We start from the raw sequence: 14,962 nt of genomic DNA, 5'->3' as shown, positions 1-14,962 counted from the left end.
GTCACATAACTGGAAAAGAACTCTGTGTGTGAAGCGCTGTGTTAGAGAAAACAAGAGTGAACAAGTCCTTTTCGTCTGCCCAGTCACAGGAGGGAGACTCAATATCTAACTGCAGTGGAGGACTGCCCTGGTGTCTGGCCCACGCATGCTGCCTGCCTGGGTTAGTTGAGAGCTGTAAAGGAGGGTTGTAGTAAGAGCTGCGTGGTGCAAATGGAAAAGTCTGCTGATATCAAGTGTGGTAAAGAGTTAGAGAAACAGAACCCACACATTGCTAGTAGGGTGTAAATTCATCAGCCACATTAGAGGGCAGTAAAACTGAAAATGTGCATTCCTCCTGATCCAGCAGTCCTGCCTCTGGGTATTATCTGGAAGATCTTATTTGCTAATTCCTGCATTACTTGTGGTAGCAAAAAGCTGGAAACAGCCTAAATGCTGTTTAGTCGATATATATATATATATATAAATGTATCACTATATATGTGGTGGTACATATCTATAAAGAGCCTAAATGTGTAATATATAGATGTGCCACACTATCTATTTATAGTGTGTAGAAAGTATATATAGTATATATGTATATATAGTATATATATGTAGCGATACATATACATATATACACACACATATATATATGGCCTAAAAGCCTAATATATAAATGTACACTATATATATATATATATATATATATATATATATATATATATATATATATATGGCTTCTGTGCGGAATAAAAAGAAAGGACAGCAGGGAAACAGGAAAGCACCTTCTCGCCGCGGTGGCCTCGCAGCTTCCCCCAGGTGCTCTCTTTTGGCAAAGCCTAACATTGCAGCGGCGGGCAAAGGAGGGCGCTGTTTACCAGCCGGCTTCCTAGAGCTTGCGAGAAAGGGGCAATTTGCAGCTAGAACATTCCGCTGATAACTGGCAGAGTTCACCCGCTTTCCTACTTAGCTTCCGTATTTATCTTTCTACACACATTTGAACTTCTGAGGAACCAAAAAACAACTCTGTTTCCGTCTAATAAGAAGCAGTTATCCTTTATATGAACGAAATTCTCACCCTCTCCTCCAAGCGAGATGCAGGCTCCCAAGAGCCACTGCATCCACAGCTAACTATATTAGTTTATCTTCATCTTTAGTCACAATTTCACTGAATACTCTGCTAACAACTCATAATAAGAAAAGATAAATGGTTAATAACTCCAAATACATACATATACCACACATGACAAGCAAAGTAAAAAAATGTGCTTTTTTACTTGGTCATGAATAGAATTACCAGATAAAATATAGGATGTCCAAACAGTGAATGCATTTTTAAGCATAAATATGTCCCCAATATTGCATAGGACATACAAATAGTACTTTTAGTAATACTATTTGTTGTTTATCTGAAGTTACTATCTCACTGGACGTCTGTATTTTCGTTTACTAAACCTGGTAAACCCTAGTTATGAGCCACAGATGCTATCTGTGACTTCTTTTGTCCACTACCCATTTGATATTTCCCTGTTCCACAGCTAGAACCTCAGCTGGTTACAGATCTTTATCTGGTGGGAAGATCTAAACCTTCATTCTTGAAGGGTCTGAGTAGGCAGAAGTACTAAGATGATGAGTACTCGGGGTTCTAGGTGAAGTCCTTCTTGCCCCCACTATGTGACACAGCAGCCCAATTTCCCCTCGTTAGCACCAATCAGTCCTTCCAGTAAAGTTGCCCCCGTTTCTGACTGTTAGTTCCAACTCAATGGAGCCATTGTGGTGTCCCCTGGGAGAGGCATTATATTCTTGGGAACTAAGATCTTCAAAGCAGCAGAGCTCAAATGTTCGGATAGCAAGCAAACCTTATTTGAGCGTATTAGGAGGATTATTTGTGGAAGAAGCCACTCTCACTTCTATCCATCTATTCTCAGACCCATGTACTGTGGCTCCTGGGGAGACTGTGTGTATTAACCATGCTCTTTTATTTTCTGTTTTCTGATGATCTGACATCTGGGGCCTTGCTGACCCTGGGGCACTGCCCCTTGCAGGGTTAGCTAATTCTTAGAGATGGCAAACAGTGAGCCTTTCTTGTGCAAACCAACCAATCCAGAACCCATACCCTGAAGCACTTTTTTTTTTTTTTTTTTGAGACAGAGTCTCGCTCTGTCACCCAGGCTAGAGTGCAGTGGCACGACCTTGGCTCACTGCAAGCTCTGCCTCCTGGGTTCATGCCATTCTCCTGTCTCAGCCTCCTGAGTAGCTGGGACTACAGGCACCCGCCATCATGCCCAGCTAATTTTTTGTATTTTTAGTAGAGACAGGGTTTCACCATGTTAGTCAGGGTGGTCTCGATCTCCTGACCTTGTGATCCACCCGCCTTGGCCTCCCAAAGTGCTGGGATTACAGGTGTGAGCCACCGCGCCCGGCCCTGAAGCACTTTCTTTCCTGGGCTCTCACAGGCTGGGCTGCTATCCACCTGCCCTCATCACTCCAAGACCAGGTACCAGACAAGTAGGTATCTAGTTGTTCCTGTGCTCCAGAGCCCACCAAAATTATTCAAACTAGCCAATCCTAAACCTGCTTACCTTGCCTCCCCTGTTCCTTCCCAGTGGAAACCACAATAGAGGTTCTTGCCTGTTTTCTCCCCCTCCCCTCTGCCTCCTGACCAATGCTGCTGCTTCTCTGTGTGGCCCTGTGTGGCGTGGTTTGTTCCCTTTTCTTGAGATCTGTGAGTATAACAAATCTTTTCTTTATACCAGTCATTTCCTTGTCTGCATGTCTTACCATACCTGATTTAAAAATATCCCAGGCACCGTTAAAACACTGTCACTTGATGGTCTTGAGTCAAAGCATAGACTGTACCCTTAAGATAGGACCTCCATATTTCAGGGTGCCATCTCTCAAGTCGTGCCACAACTGAGTCTTCAGTAAGTCACTCCACTTTTAGTCTGGCCGTGCCTGGGCATGGGTATGTAGTAAGAGCAGTTAATTCCATGCTGCATTTCCTTTGCAGTGGAATCAGTTCCCTGATTAGACACAGCACTGTGGGGAATGACACGATGGTGGCCAGGGATCTCAGGAGTCCAGGGTTGGTGATGCTGGAAGAAGCATTACAAGCAGGGATGGCAAATCCATATCCAGAATTTGTGCCCCTTCCATGGTAGAAGAGATCAATGGAATTAATCTGCCAGCAGGAGGCTGGCTGGCCCCCGACATTAATGATATATAAGGGTCTTGGTGTTGGTCTCTGCCCTTGACAGATTGGCCACTTTTGTCAGTGGTAGCCAGGTCAACCTTAGGAAGAGGGAGATTTTCTGCCTTAGGCCATTTAGTGTTATTATAACAAAATAACCAAGGCTGGGTAATTTATAAATAAAAGCCATTTATTTGGCTTATGATTCTGGTGGCTGGAAGGTCCAAGGTTGGGCAGCTACATCTGGTCAGGACCTCAGGCTTTTTCAGCTGATGGCAGAAGATGGAAGGGGAGCAGGCAAAGTGACCATATGGAGGGAGAGGAAGCAAGAGAGAGAAACTAAGGAAGCCAGACTCTCTTATTTAACAACTTGCTCTCGAGGGAAGTAAGCCATTCCTGTGAGACCAATAACTCACTCCCAGGAAAGGCATTAATCTATTCACAATGGATCTGCTCCCATGACCCAAATATCTCCCATGAAGTCCCACCTCCCAACGTTGCCACAACGGGGACTAAATTTCAACATGCATTTTGGAGGGGAAAAACCACATCCAAGCCATAGCAGCCATGCTCATGAGGTAATGCACAGCCTCTACGTGTGCCACCATGACTGTCCCCTCTGTCCACAAGCCCACTGGGCAAATACTGGGATGGCTGGGGAATGAGGTTGACTGACATCTATGGAATGTGTCATTTTGTCCACCTGATTATCGAGGCCTCTTCTGCAGAGAGTGTTCATGTGCCATGTGGTCAGCATTCATATGCAATGCTGGTGTCTGCTCATAGTGTCCATAATGAGGGGCCCATCCCTATGCCTCTTCCCACCCTTCCTTGTCATTAATTTTCAAATCTGATCATTGATCCTTCTGAGTCCCTGACCAACCAGCCAAACCTCTAGCAACTCCTCATGAGTCACCATCATCTGTGTTATTTGCCATCTCTCAATCCAGACCAAGTTGCCAGCGAAATACCCCCATCAGTCTCCAGCCCCTGGGCAAGCCAACCTTCCCTGTGTCATTCAGGGCAGCTCGAGTGGTGCAGTAGTGCTGCAGCTGGTCACCTTCAGGGATCAGCAGCACATTGTGCATACCCAGCTGTAATCAAGCTCATGTGTTTTCTTCCTCAGTCAGTTGGTCCTGAGGAACAGCCCAGGAAGCCTTAGGCTGGATGGAGTCTGAGGAGCAGGTGTTGAGGGATCTGAGCCACCTGCTCATGACACTTGCTTGTCCCTTCTGGGCCTGACTGAGCCTGGGCTCTTATAGGCAGTTTCCTCTGGTGATTGATTGCTGCTTTGGCTGCATGGGTCAGGGCACCCAGGTCATGGTGGGAAGCTCAGGCTGGGTGCTTGCCTGGTGTCCTATGGGTAGGCATTTAGTTTCCACCAAGGCCCAGTGGTGAGCGGAAGCTGTTTCTCAGAGGAAGCAGAGTCACCTGCAGAAGAGGGTGCAGACTTGCTCCCACGTCCTAGAGGTCTGCACGGTGATTCTTCTGCTGCTTGCCAGATGCTCCGTGTGGCACCCCCAGTCTCTCCACAGATACTGGATTTCACTGAATGTGCCAGATTATAAGGTCCAAGTGGAAGAGACACCTGCACTGGAGCTTAGGCTTGCTGCAGAGACTTCTCATTGTCTGTTCCCATTCAGCACTGGCCACCTTGTGTGTGACTTGGGAGATGCGTCCACGTGGCCCACTCCACTGAGGCACATCTTGCCTCCAGCCATAAAGGCCCACCAGGCTTTGTGTTCATGGCTGGTGGTGTGACTTGCAGCCACTCATCTTTCACAGGCTGCACATCTGTGGCCATAGTGATTGTCCCGTGAGTTCTGGTTGTTAAAAAGGCTCAATCATGTGACTTTGGTGGAGGAACTCTGATTGGGTCCTGTAATGGGTATCCTGCCTTCTTCAGGCCCCAAAGCCAACTCTCTCTCTCTCTCAATCTATCTGGCTCTCTCTCTCTCTTTCTCTCTCTCTATCTTTCTCTCTATCTTTACCTTCCTCCCTCCCTCCCTCCTTTCCTCTCTCGCTCTCTTTCTTGTTTTCTTTTTTCTCTCTTTTCTCTTGCCCAGGCTGGAGTGCATTGGGTGTGATCATAGCTCACTGCAGCTTTGAACTCTTGGGTTCAGCTGATCCTCCTGCCTTAGCCTCCCAAGCAGCTGAGACTACAAGTGCATGGCTGATTTTTTTAAAAAAAAATTGTTTTAATAGAGAAGTGGGTCTCACTTTGTTGCCAGGGCTGGTCTGAAACTCCTGGCCTCAAGTAATTCTCGCTCCTCATCCTCCCAAAGTGGTGGGATTACAGGTGTGAGCCACCCCACCCACATCTGGCCCAACCCTCCCTTTTCTTCAGCCTTTTCCCCTGTGTGATTGTGACTCCATCCCTCTGGGCTCAGCCTAATGTGGATGCTGGCCTGTGTATCTCTGGGTGATCTGCAGTGTATGTGAGGTCAGCCCCCAGTGCTTAAGGACTAGGGGACAGGCTCTGTCTCTGAACCAAAAGGAAGGGAAGGGGTGACCAGTGCTGAGCCCATATCCTGTACCCAGTAACATGACAGGCCATTCACCTACATGTTCATTTAATCCTCAAATCAACAAAACATGGTACATATGAACTTGAAGTAGCCATTACCCCGAAAGGTGTTACATATCTTTCCAAATATCCCTGGTGGAAATGATTGGACCTGAAATTGGACCAAGGTATGACCCAAATCCCATGGTCTCCTCCCTCTGTAACAGCTGCAGCAGGGCCAGGGCAGGGGCAGAGGGGATGCCCATGCTTGGCAAGGAGGTGGGAAAATCAGGCTGAGAGTGGACACAAGGGAAGTCCTCAGGACTCCAGGCAGGAGACAGAGCAGGGACCTGGCTGTCAGGCCAGGGGCCTTATGAATGGGATTAGTGCCCTTATAAAAGAAGCCTCAGAGAGCTGCCTGGTCCCTTCCATCTTATAAGGACACAGCAAGAAGGCACCCTCTGTGAACCAAGAAACAGACAGAGCCAGGACAGGTCTGCCCACAGCCCCAACTTCCTGATGCTGTGCTGTCCCCAGCATGGACTCCTCACCCCATGCTCAGGTGGGGAGACCCTTACACCAGAGGCCTTGGACCTGGTTCCTGCTGCATCTCCCCAGAGTTCTGCCAAGTGTGTTCTTCTTGCTGGAATTTTTGGTTGGTTCTTGAGCTGTGCTTGCTCAGGAATCTCCATTGTCCCTGGCCTGGCAGGATGGGGGTGGGGGTGATCATCTGCCTGTCCTAGGCCCGAGGCCTGCACCACCCTGCCCCTGGTTGCCCTGAGGAAGGCCAGTAGGCCTCAGCCCTGGTCTTGGTCATCAGGAATAGGCCTCTCTGCATCTCCTGGGATTCTGGTCTCGACCTCCTCCTCCTTTGGATGGCTTCATGTATGGGGTGAGGCCCTGCTCTGCCGGAGCTGTTTGCCTCCATGAGGGAAGCCAGCCAATGCGGAGATGAAGACAGGGTGGAGAGAATCCCAGAGAAACAGGGCTGGGCATCCGGGTTCAGGCGGCTCTGAGTGCCCCACGTCTGGATTTCCAGTTATGCAAGGCAATAACTCCCTCTTTGTCTGAGGCCATTTGAGTCATGTTTCTGGGACCTGCAGGATGGCTCTCTGACATGGTCTATAACAGATGTTACATGTGTGCTCTGGAAGCATGGGGGAGGGGCGCCCGGCTGTGCTGCCCCTGCCTCAGATACTGTGCAGAAAAGGCCAAGAAATCCCATCACAGAGATGTGACTAAACTGTTGGAAATGCAAGGAGAACAGACACAACTCTTGCATAATATAAGGGCACGTTTCAGAAATGATGCATGAAGAAAGCCTTTTAGAGAAGAGCTCCTATTTCCAGAATGGTGGGCTAAGATAGAGAATGGCTAAAAAGATACCATGAAATTTCCACTCCAAGGAAGATTGGTATAGTTATGTTGACATCAAATTTTAAAACTTTATGGCCAAGAAGCATTACCTGAAATAACTTGAAGAAGATATCAGAAGATTAGAAGACTTAATCGACTTGAGCTAATGGACTTATCTATGGAACATCGCATCCAGAGTTATGGGATGTATATTCTCTTCAAGCAGAAAAGGACTGGCCAGGCGCGGTGACTCATGCCTGCAATCTCAGCACTTTTGGAGGCCGAGGCAGATGGATCACCTGAGGTTGGGAGTTCGAGACCAGCCTGACCAACATGGAGAAACCCTATCTCTACTAAAAATACAAAAAAAATCAGCCAGGCATGGTGGCACATGCCTGTAATCTTAGCTACTCAGGAGGCTGAGGCAGGAGAATCGCTTGAACCTGGGAGGCGGAGCTTGCAGTGAGCTGAGATAGTGCCACTGCATTCTAGCCTGGGCAACAGAGTGAGACTCCGTCTCAAAAAAACAAGAAAAGAAAAAAAAAGAAAAGGACCACGGGCAGAAATTGACTACTGTGGTCTGAATTCTTGTGTTCCCAGAATTCATATGTTGAAACCTAATGTGATGGTGTTAGGGAAGTGGGGCCATTGGGAGGCAACTAGGTCATGAGGCCAGGGGCCTTATGAATGGGATTAGTGCCCTTATAAAAGAAGCCTCAGAGAGCTGCCTGGTCCCTTCCATCTTATAAGGACACAGCAAGAAGGCACCCTCTGTGAACTAAGAAACAGGTCCTCACCAGACACTGAACCTGCTGGTGCCTTGATCTGAGACTTCTCAGCCTCCAGAACTATGAAAAATAAATTTCTGTTGTTTATGAGCCACCCATTTTATGGGATTTTGTTATAACAGCCCAAATGGACTAAGACATGGACCATACGTGGGCCTGTAAAACAAGCCTAAACAAATTTCAAAGGACCAAAACATTCCACATATGTTCTGTAAGCAAAATACTAGAAATCAGTCACAAAAATATAACTAGAACATCCTCATATGCTTGGAAATGAGGAAATATGTTCCCAGTGATTTAGAGAGATTCTCAAATTGGAAATTAGGTCACATTTTGAACTAAGCAATAATGAAATCATTACATGAAAACCTTGTGAGATACAGCTAATGTAGTACATAGAGGGAAATTGATTACCTTAAAATATGTATAGAAATTTTATAGAAAATAAGCTGAAAAAGAATGAGCTATGCATAGATCTCAGAAAAATGCAGTAAAATAATCTTGAAAAGTTGAAGGAAATAAGAAAGGGAAGAACAAGTATTAAAGAAGTAGATCATATATTCAGTGGGATGATGCAGCAAGAAAGTGGCAGTTAGTTCCTTTACAATATTACAGAAATTGAAACTGATTCGGTGAATTTATCAAGAACAGAAGAAAGGACTGGGTGGGTGCGGCGGCTCATGTCTGTAATTCCAGCACTTTGGGAGGCTGAGGTGGGCGGATCACTTGAGGTCAGGAGTTCAAGACCAGCGTGACCAACATGGCGAAACCCTGTCTCTACTAAAAATACAAAAAATAAGCCAGGTGTGGTGGCACTCGCCTGTAATCCCAGCTACTCGGGAGGCTGAGGCAGGAGAATCACTTGAACCAGGGAGGCAGAGGTTGCAGTGAGCCAAGATTGCACCACTGCACCACTGCACTTCAGCCTACGTGACAGAGCGAGACTCTATATCAAAACAAAACAAAACAAAATAAAAACAGAAGAAAGAAGGCACAAATCACCCATATCGAGTGTAAACAGGGCTGGGGGCGGGGGGTTGTTTTATAGATGTGGAATACCTAAAATGGGTAATAGAGTCAATTTTAACAACATTATGCCAGTACTTTGAGATGAAATGAGAGTATTCTTAGAAAAATCTAATCAAACACATATATTTGACTCAAGAAGAAGTAGAAAATCTCAGTTCTTCTAAGGGTATTGAATACATAGTGACAAATATTCCCACAAACAAAACTGGGTTAGGCAGGGTGCGGTGGCTCATGCCTGTAATTCCAGCACTTTGGGAGGCTGAGGTGGGTGGATTACTTGAGGTCAGGGGTTTGTGACCAGCCTGGCCAATACAATGAAACCTCTTCTCTACTAAAAATACAAAAATTGGCTGAGTGTGGTTGCACGAGCCTGTAATCCCAGCTACTCCAGAGGCTGAGGCAGGAGAATCACTTGAGCCCAGGAGGTGGAGGTTGCAGTGAGCTGAGATGGCGCTACTGCACTCCAGCCTGGGCCAAAGAGCGAGACTCTGTCTCAAAACAAACAAAAACAACCCCAAAACTGGCTCAGAGAGATTCACTGGTAGGAAATTCCAACCTTACACAAGATCCTCCAGAGAATAAAACAATTCTGAAGAATAAACGATGCCTTAATCACAGTAGTGCCACATATAGTGCTGGCTAGTACATAATGGACAAGTCTGGTCCATGCATTCCAAGGATGCAAAATCGGTTTGACATTAGAAGAATGACAAATTGCAATATTAAAGGAGAAAAAAATCACAATAAAAGATGCAGAAAAAACATTGAATAAAATCTGAAGAATGATTTTCAGAAACTACTTACCATACGAGAAATGTAAAATAACTTCCTTAATCTGGTGAGAGACTCCTGCAAGGAACCTACAGCAGGCATCGTGTTTAATAGTGAACTGTATATAAACATCCTTTGTGACAAGACAAGGATGCCGCATTGTACTGAATACCAGCAGGGAGAGTAAGGTGAAAGAAAAAAATGAAAGGTGTAGGAATTGAGAAGATGGCAACAAAATTGTCACCATTCACAGATGACATGTTTAAATGTGCAGCAAATCCTACAGACTGCACAGATACACTTTTAGAACTATGAGAAAGTGTAGCAAATTTACCAGATCTGATTTCAAATATATAAGCCTATTATTTAATATATTTTTGTACATCAGCAGATGAATGGAAAATAATATTAAAGAGGGATACAATTTACAATCACATTAAAAATATCAGTTGGACTGGGCACAGTGGCTCACACCTGTAATCCCAGCACTTTGGCAGGCTGAGGCGGGTGGATTGTTTGAGCCCAGGAGTTTGAGACCAGCCTGGAAAACATAGCAAGATTCTGTCTCTACCAAAACAATTTCAAATTAAAAATTAGCCAGGCATGGTGGTGCATGCCTGTAGTCCCAGCTACTCAGGAGGCTGAGGTGGGAGGATCACTTGATCTCAGGAATTTGAGGCAGCAGTGAGCCAAAACTGTGCCGCTGCACTCCAGCCTGGGTGACAGAGCCAGACCCTGTCTCTAAACAAAACCGAAACAAACACCTCCCCCGACCCGCTCCCTGCAAAAACTCACAACAAATGTATATCAGTAAACTAGGGGTTCATCTACAGAGATGTCCAAGCTGTTTATGGGGAAAATTGTACAACTTTCTTGAGAATTATTAAAGTATACTAATGGGAAAGACAGAGGATATTCATGGATTGAAAGGTGTCAATTCTTCCCAAACTGGTTAGTAAACTATCCATTCATTCAACGTGCAAAATTCCTGTACATTTTTAGGGGGATAGAAGAGTAGCTGATTCTAGGGAAGAGAAGCTCAGATCTTCTTGACAGAGAGGAGCACCCTCCTCCTTCCTGGTCACCTGGGCAACTTCAAGGTCATGACCAGAGGGAACCTGGGCCCCTCTATCGCCCGCCCAGAATTCTCCCTCTCCTTCCCCAAGCCCAGAAGCCGGCCACGCTGTTCCCAATGGAGGGAGCATTTCCTCTACCATGGACACAGCCCAGGCTCAGCTTCTGCTCTGGGGCACAGAGGGGAGGGGCTCTGAGGGCGGGAATCCTGTGGAGGGGCACAGCTCCCTGTGCTTTCCGGGGGTCGCACTACCCAACCCGGTGGCCCCCTCTTGTCCTGCAATCCCATCCCGGCTCCGGTGGCCCACTTCACCCTCCTCGGCCACCAAGGGTCTCTGCCCCCATGCTAGCAGTGCTGGGAAGGGCCCCAGTCTGTGCAGACTCAAAAGAGTAGGGACCAGGACTGCAACCTCTGAATAAAACCATGGGGAAACTGAGGCTCAGGGAGGCCAAGGTCAACGAGGCAGGAGCAGAATGGGCATCAGGGTGGCAGGGTCTGGTGACCTTCGAGTGACGCCCGGCGGGCTGGGCCTCGCCCTTGGGCTTTACCTGGTTCTCATTTGGTGCCAGATGTCTGTGCTCTCTGGGGATAGGAACATCCCAATCGTCCACAGTTCCAAGGCAGGGTGTGGTTGTGGGGCATGAGATGGTGGCCCTGCTGGGCTGTGCATTAGTCTGGCTGCTCTGGGGAGAACTCAGTTCATAGTAAACCCAAATATAGACGTGTGTCCCTCTAGTTACAGGGTGAGTGTGTGTCCTTGGGAGGCATGATGTATGCACGGGGACATGCAGGGGCTCACTGGCCTGTGTTTGTGAATGAATAACCCAGACAGCCCAGATGTCCATCCACTGGGGATGGGCCGGGACCAGCGTCTATTTGTATGTTGAACCATGGAGCTCTGTCTTATTTATCTAGTTGCATCTCCTAGTACTAGAGATATACATGTAGCAAGTTAGAAGGAGCGTGACAGGTTCCACATGATGTTGTTCAGGTGCATTTGAAAACTGAGAACAAATGCAAACTGCTCAGCATGGTCTGTAAGGCCCCAAGGAACCCCCACCCCCGCCTGCAACCCAGCTCCCTCTACCCCTTCCCTCCCTCACCCCTCCTCTCTTCTTGGATCTGGCCACATGGCCTCCTTGCTGTTTCTGCAATTCGTCAGCAGAGTCTCACCCCAAGGCCTTCGCACTTGCTGTTTCTGCCGCCAGGAGCGCTCCTCCCCAGGCACCTCCACAACTGGCCGGTCCCCTCATTGACTCAGGGGTGTCCCTTCCTGACCATCCAGCTAAACCAGCAGTTGTCACAGTCTCCCGTTTGACCCTGTCTTTTTCGTAAAGAACTCATCACATCACAAATGACAGCATCACGTGGTGTTTGTTCCAGGCCTATGTCACCCAATGGCACTTGGTTCCAGGGCTTGGCCCCCGAGGCCACCACTGGGTCCCCTGGGCATAAAGCCACATCCAGAGCTGTTGAATGGCTGCATGTGGAGTGAGCAGCACTGGGTTTCTCTCAGGGAAAAGGGGGAGGGAAACGGAGGGGAATCTAACCTGATCAGTTGTATTTTCCTCTCAGTAAAAGCCTGTGATAGTTGACAGCAGGCTAGCATTTGTTACTGCTGTGTGTCAATGTTCTTGGCATTTCTGTGTTTTCCTAAAGCCCAGGCAGGCCCTCCCCTCCTATACCCCGTCCCACCTGGCACAGAGGAGAGCCGTTTCTGGGACTCTCTGGCCTGGAAATTCCTCTCCCCCAAGGTGTCTTCTTCCCTCCCGGGGGACCGTGCACCCTGTGTATGTGACAGGTGGGTGTACAAGGGCCCCCAGATCCTCTGCTCCAGCCCCTCCCTTGGGAGAGGGCCCAGCCTCTGGGCTCTGACAGGGCCTCAGGAGCTGGAGTTATTCGGAATCTGAGTACCCGGACCATTGGTGGTGGGTGGAGGGGAGGGCTGTACCACTTTCCTGATGAGGGACCTTGGCCAGGTCACATCCCTCTCTGTGAAAGGAGATAATGATCTTGCCAGACTTGTGCATCCTGGGATTTCCGGATGAAGACTCCTGGGGGTTGTGACTGATAAGACAGAGACCTTCTAGAGAAGGGACAACAGTGGCCACTAGAGGGCGCTATCGACTCTGGCTCTGGCCAGTGCATGTGAGTGGGTGTGAGTGTGTGAATGCGTGTGTGTGTGTGAATGAGTATGAATGTGTGTGGATAAATGTGTGAGCATGAATGGGTATGTAAGTGTGACTGTGTGTGTGTGTGTGTGTGGATGTGTGTGTGTGTGGAGCCCCTTGTACAGGCACAGTTAGGATATGTCAGCCAAGGATGCAGCTGGGATGCCTTCACGTGGTGACATCCCTGTTCAGGTGACACTGCAGTGCACGGTTACCACATGGCTGGACTCCTGAACACTCAGCCATCCTGCTCTGGGGCAATCTTCCTATAGCCTCGAGCTCCCTGCCCCAAGAGTGGTCCTGAGGCTCCTTGGTCTGGGGGTGGGCACAGGACAGTGGAGTCACTCTGGCTCTAGCGCTGGAAGGAGGGGAGGCAGGAGGGGATGGCTGCTCTGCTCAGACCCTGCGTATCCCTCACATTCAATAAACTGGGCTGGGATGTTTAGTGTTGAGCAAGCTTCAGCCACGCATGCCCTGAGGAAGGAACACGTGCAGGGCCTGTGTGAACTGCACTGGGGCCCCCTATCCAGAGAGGAACCCCGGGGCCGGGTAGACTGGGGTGGGGGTGCCAGCTCTCTAACCTCCCCAAAGACCCAAGGGCTCCTCTGCTCAGAGTGGTCAATGTGGAGTCTTGGGGTGCTGGAGCCCAGCACCCTTTGCAGCCTCGGGGTGCTGGTCATGGGGCTGGATCCCAGCTAAGAGGGGACCTCATCAGGGCCAAGTGTGTGTGACAGCATCCTGTGGGGGAGCACTGGGCCTTAAGACTGGCAGCCAGGCTCACAGCTGGACCCATGACAAGTCCTTTGTCCCCTCTGGGCCTCAGTTTTTCTGTGTGGCTGAGTGGTGAGGTCCATTCTCTAAGACTCTTTTGGTGTCCCCCAGACCCCCCTGCCTCCTGGGGCAGCTGGGCTGGGCACCTGGGACCCATGAGGGGCTGACAGCCCAGGATCTGAGACCTGGGCCAGTGCAGAGCTGGGGGCACCAGGCCCTGCTGCTGGAGGTGCTGGGCTGAAGATCCCCCCAGCCTCCCACAGCAAGGGCAGCCACCCCAGGAGAGCCAGGCTGGGGACTGAAGACTTGGGAACTAAGGAGCTAGGGATTATCTGATGCAGGAGGGGCCAAATCTCCTTCCTGGGCTCTGAAGGTGGAGACAGTGGCCACCAACAGGGCCTCTCCAGCCATCCCTCAGCCCCACATGTGCACACCTCACAGACTCCAGCCCACAGACCCCTGACCTGGAATAGCTCTCCCAGCCCCCACTTGCAGCCCTCCTGCCTCCCTAGATCTCCAGAGCAGCCAGAGGCTGAACTCATAGCCCTGAGCCTTCTCCAATGGTGGTGTCAGTAGCAGTGGGGGTGGTTGGTGCTGCCAGAGAGAGACACAGAGCAGCCACGGTGGAGGCTGCGGAGGTGGAGGAGTCTGAGGCCTCCCTGAGGAGGGAGCTTGGGGCCTGGTTCAGGTCACCTCACAGTGGATGCTCTGGGGAGTTTGGAGGAGGCCCTGGGGGCCCCTCTATCTTTCCTATTCTCAGTGTAGAGCTGGGGTCAGGTGGGGCAGGTGGGAGCCCAGTTCCTGTGGATGCCTCTCCTTCCACACCCTCATGGGTACCTTTCGTGGATGCAGGGGGGCCTCTTTGGGCACTCAGCAGGGCAGTTCAGGCTCTCTTCTCTGGAAGTCAGTCTGGGACATGCGTCCAAGGCCTTAGACAGGCATGACCTTTGATCTTTGCAGAGAGGGTCAACCCCAAGTCAGTCACTGGATCCTTGCACAGAGGTGGGGGCGAGGGGCTTTGGCTGTGTCCTGCTCAGAACAGTGAATGACCTGAGCAAAGCAGCCTAATTGTCCAGCTGACTTGGGAAGAGGCTGCCTCAGTGTTGTTGGAGCTGCTTGTTCCCAGTGTGATGCGCACCCAGGTTTATCCACACCTGCATGGATATGTTGTTAAGTGACAACCGTAGAGAATCTTTGTCAGTCTGTCTATTCCTCCTCCTCCTCCTCCTTCTTCTTCTTCCCTTCGTCTTCTTCTTCCTCCTCCTCTTCTTCTTCTTCTTCCTTCTTTCCTCCTCCTCCTCCTTCTTCTTCTCCTTCTCCATCATC

The 14,962-nt window shown here is 49.2% G+C and overlaps 5 annotated features.

Moving 5' to 3' along the window:
- Positions 878-1,027: an enhancer, noted in NCBI's record as "active region_18742". NCBI's record gives its function as "activates an Ori minimal core promoter by ATAC-STARR-seq in GM12878 lymphoblastoid cells {active_cell/tissue: GM12878}" and the evidence as "EXISTENCE:reporter gene assay evidence [ECO:0000049][PMID:35858748]".
- Positions 8,476-8,525: a silencer, noted in NCBI's record as "silent region_13529". NCBI's record gives its function as "represses an Ori minimal core promoter by ATAC-STARR-seq in GM12878 lymphoblastoid cells {active_cell/tissue: GM12878}" and the evidence as "EXISTENCE:reporter gene assay evidence [ECO:0000049][PMID:35858748]".
- Positions 11,772-12,021: an enhancer, noted in NCBI's record as "active region_18741". NCBI's record gives its function as "activates an Ori minimal core promoter by ATAC-STARR-seq in GM12878 lymphoblastoid cells {active_cell/tissue: GM12878}" and the evidence as "EXISTENCE:reporter gene assay evidence [ECO:0000049][PMID:35858748]".
- Positions 12,662-12,751: an enhancer, noted in NCBI's record as "active region_18740". NCBI's record gives its function as "activates an Ori minimal core promoter by ATAC-STARR-seq in GM12878 lymphoblastoid cells {active_cell/tissue: GM12878}" and the evidence as "EXISTENCE:reporter gene assay evidence [ECO:0000049][PMID:35858748]".
- Positions 14,392-14,481: an enhancer, noted in NCBI's record as "active region_18739". NCBI's record gives its function as "activates an Ori minimal core promoter by ATAC-STARR-seq in GM12878 lymphoblastoid cells {active_cell/tissue: GM12878}" and the evidence as "EXISTENCE:reporter gene assay evidence [ECO:0000049][PMID:35858748]".

Source organism: Homo sapiens, chromosome 22 (assembly GCF_000001405.40).
Source record: "Homo sapiens chromosome 22, GRCh38.p14 Primary Assembly".
Taxonomy (NCBI): Eukaryota; Metazoa; Chordata; class Mammalia; order Primates; family Hominidae; genus Homo; species Homo sapiens.
Note: the sequence above shows the minus strand (reverse complement) of the source record. Positions and strands in the feature narration are given on the sequence as shown.